This window comes from Homo sapiens, chromosome X (assembly GCF_000001405.40).
Source record: "Homo sapiens chromosome X, GRCh38.p14 Primary Assembly".
Taxonomy (NCBI): domain Eukaryota; kingdom Metazoa; phylum Chordata; class Mammalia; order Primates; family Hominidae; genus Homo; species Homo sapiens.
In genome coordinates, this window is record NC_000023.11 from 147361959 (window position 1) to 147364513 (window position 2555).

Consider the following 2555-nt stretch of genomic DNA (forward strand, 5'->3'; position numbering starts at 1 on the left):
AATAATCCCCAAAAGAATGGAGTGGAACAAAGAGGACAGAAATAATGAAATAGAAAAAAATGATAAAATAGGATCAACAAAGTGAACAACAAAATTTTGGAAAGACTAATGAAATAGAAAAATCTCTGCCATCAATAACAAAACAGTATTAAACATGTAAAGGAGACGTGACTACAAATACAGCAGTTATTGAAAAAATAATGATCAGATATTGTAATCAACTGTAGGCCTATAACTGTCTAAACCTTATATAAATACGCCATCTCCTTAACAATATAATCCAACACTGACAAGAAAAGACAGAAACTTAAATATACCTATAAGCATTAAATTGAATCAGTCCTGAAAAATTATATTCTCTTTTTTTTATTTGTGTTTCTTTCACATACACACTCACACAGACTTGGATAGTTATACAGGTGTAAACTACATATATTCAAAGAACATTTGATTCCCATATTATATAACTTCTTTTATGGAGAATTCAAAAACAGGGAACAATTTAATGAGGGTAACATAAACTTAATACCAAAACCTAACAAGACAGCAGAAGAAAAAATCACAGGATGCCAGGTAAATATTTCAAACATAGAAGCAAAATTCTTACCTAAACATAACGTATTAAACATATTAAATGAAAATTAACTTTAAAATTCTAAATGAATTATATATACACACACACACATGCTGTACATGTCCAGAGAGTACAAGGATAGTTGTAACATTAGAAAATCTGCTAATATTATACTCCACGTTAACGAATAAATAGAGAAAACTCAAATAATAATCACACAAACATAAAAAGGTATGATTCTAACTTCATAGCAGGTGCTTTATTGTCGGTATTCATACCTCTCCCCACCGTTAATATTAAATTTGGACTAATTGCTAATGTTAGTCACGTAGTGGTGTAAAAATAATAGTGAATGAATTAGTGAATTAAAAGTTTATGAACAGCACTCACCTTGGTCTCACTGACAAAAACCATTGTGCTTGCTTTGTGAGCTGCAAAAGCATACACTTACATGAAATACACCATTTTATTGCTGACAAAACTGTATTCTTTGCAGAACATCAAATTCCTAGTGATAAGAATATTTTTTTTTTCACTCTTGGACTGAAAGGGACTTTTTAATCAAAGAAAAGAAACATCCTTAAAGATATAAACATTTGTCTCCAAGTAAAATACATTTGATAAAGATAACACATTGCTGAAATAACTGAATAACACAAATTTCCCAGAAAACACAGAGCAGTGTACAAAAAAGCAGCCACCTGTTATTCTATTTTTATCCATTGCTCTCTTCATTCTTGCCTACAAGGTTAGCTTTCCACTTTAAATAAAATTATAAATATGCCAAAAAAGTAAATAAAAGCTATCATTCTGAATATTAGAAAAAGCAGATATTGTTCTTTAAAGTAGAATTATAGATTCTTCATTCAAATAAGAAAAAAGTAAAGGCTTTTAACCCAATATTCTGATAGGTAATATCATCTTTCAAATGAAGGTTTTGTTTCAAAGAACACTGAACTTTCATCTAAAAGATGTTCCATGGTAGTTTTGTCATAGTAATCACTTACTTTGAAAGAATTTTTCAATTTCTGCTCTGTACATAGCCTTGGTGCAGACAGTCTACAATATTTTTTTTTCCTGAAACTTGGATTCAGTGTCAGAACTAGAAACGCAAGTTAGAAGGATCAACTGCTTTCTCATATAGGATCTTTTTTTAACTTGAGTCAATTTCAACAAACCAGAACACCCATGTATTGCTGATGTCAGAAGAAAGGTCAATAGTTATGATAAAAGCTTTCAATGTGACTACAATCATAAGGCACATGACGTGGGGCTTTATGGAATGGTATGAAGTTCTCTTCAGCGATAAAATCAGATAGTGTTTAATATTTAAATTAGATAGCATTTCCTTAAGTCACAAATCAAACTGAAAAAAAACTATGCCTCTAGTGACCTAAGAAAAGAGTTAATTAAATATTACTATCTTATACGTAGATGGCACTTAAGAGCTTAAAACACTTTCCATGTGATCCTCATTTACAGATGAGAAACAGTTTCAGTAACATAGCTGTAATAATATTAGTAGTACTGCTCTACACCTAGCTAACACTTACTGAGTTCTTACTCTGTGCCCGGCAAGCATCCATAAACAGCAGCATCATGCTAATGCTAGTTGGCTTGCCACACTTCCATAGATCCGAACAGTAAGAAGACAACAAGCCTAAATAGATTCAGTGCATTACATTCCTGTACCCAGGAGATGACACTGAACCTGAAGGGCCAGAGGGACCCAAGGGGTGGTTCACTCTATCACTAAGGAAGCAAACAGTTCTCTAAACTTACACAGAAGTTTGCAGCTGTGCCCTAAGAAGGCAGGGCAAGGTGGAAAGTCCCATGCCTCATTGGAACCAGAGAGATAGATGACAAGCTATCTTATTGCAGACTCCCACAAGAACCGAGGAGGATGAGAAATGAACTTAGGATGCGTTCACAAGACTGCCCATCTCTCCATGTTCCTGGGAGGATTACAGAGTGTTCTGCC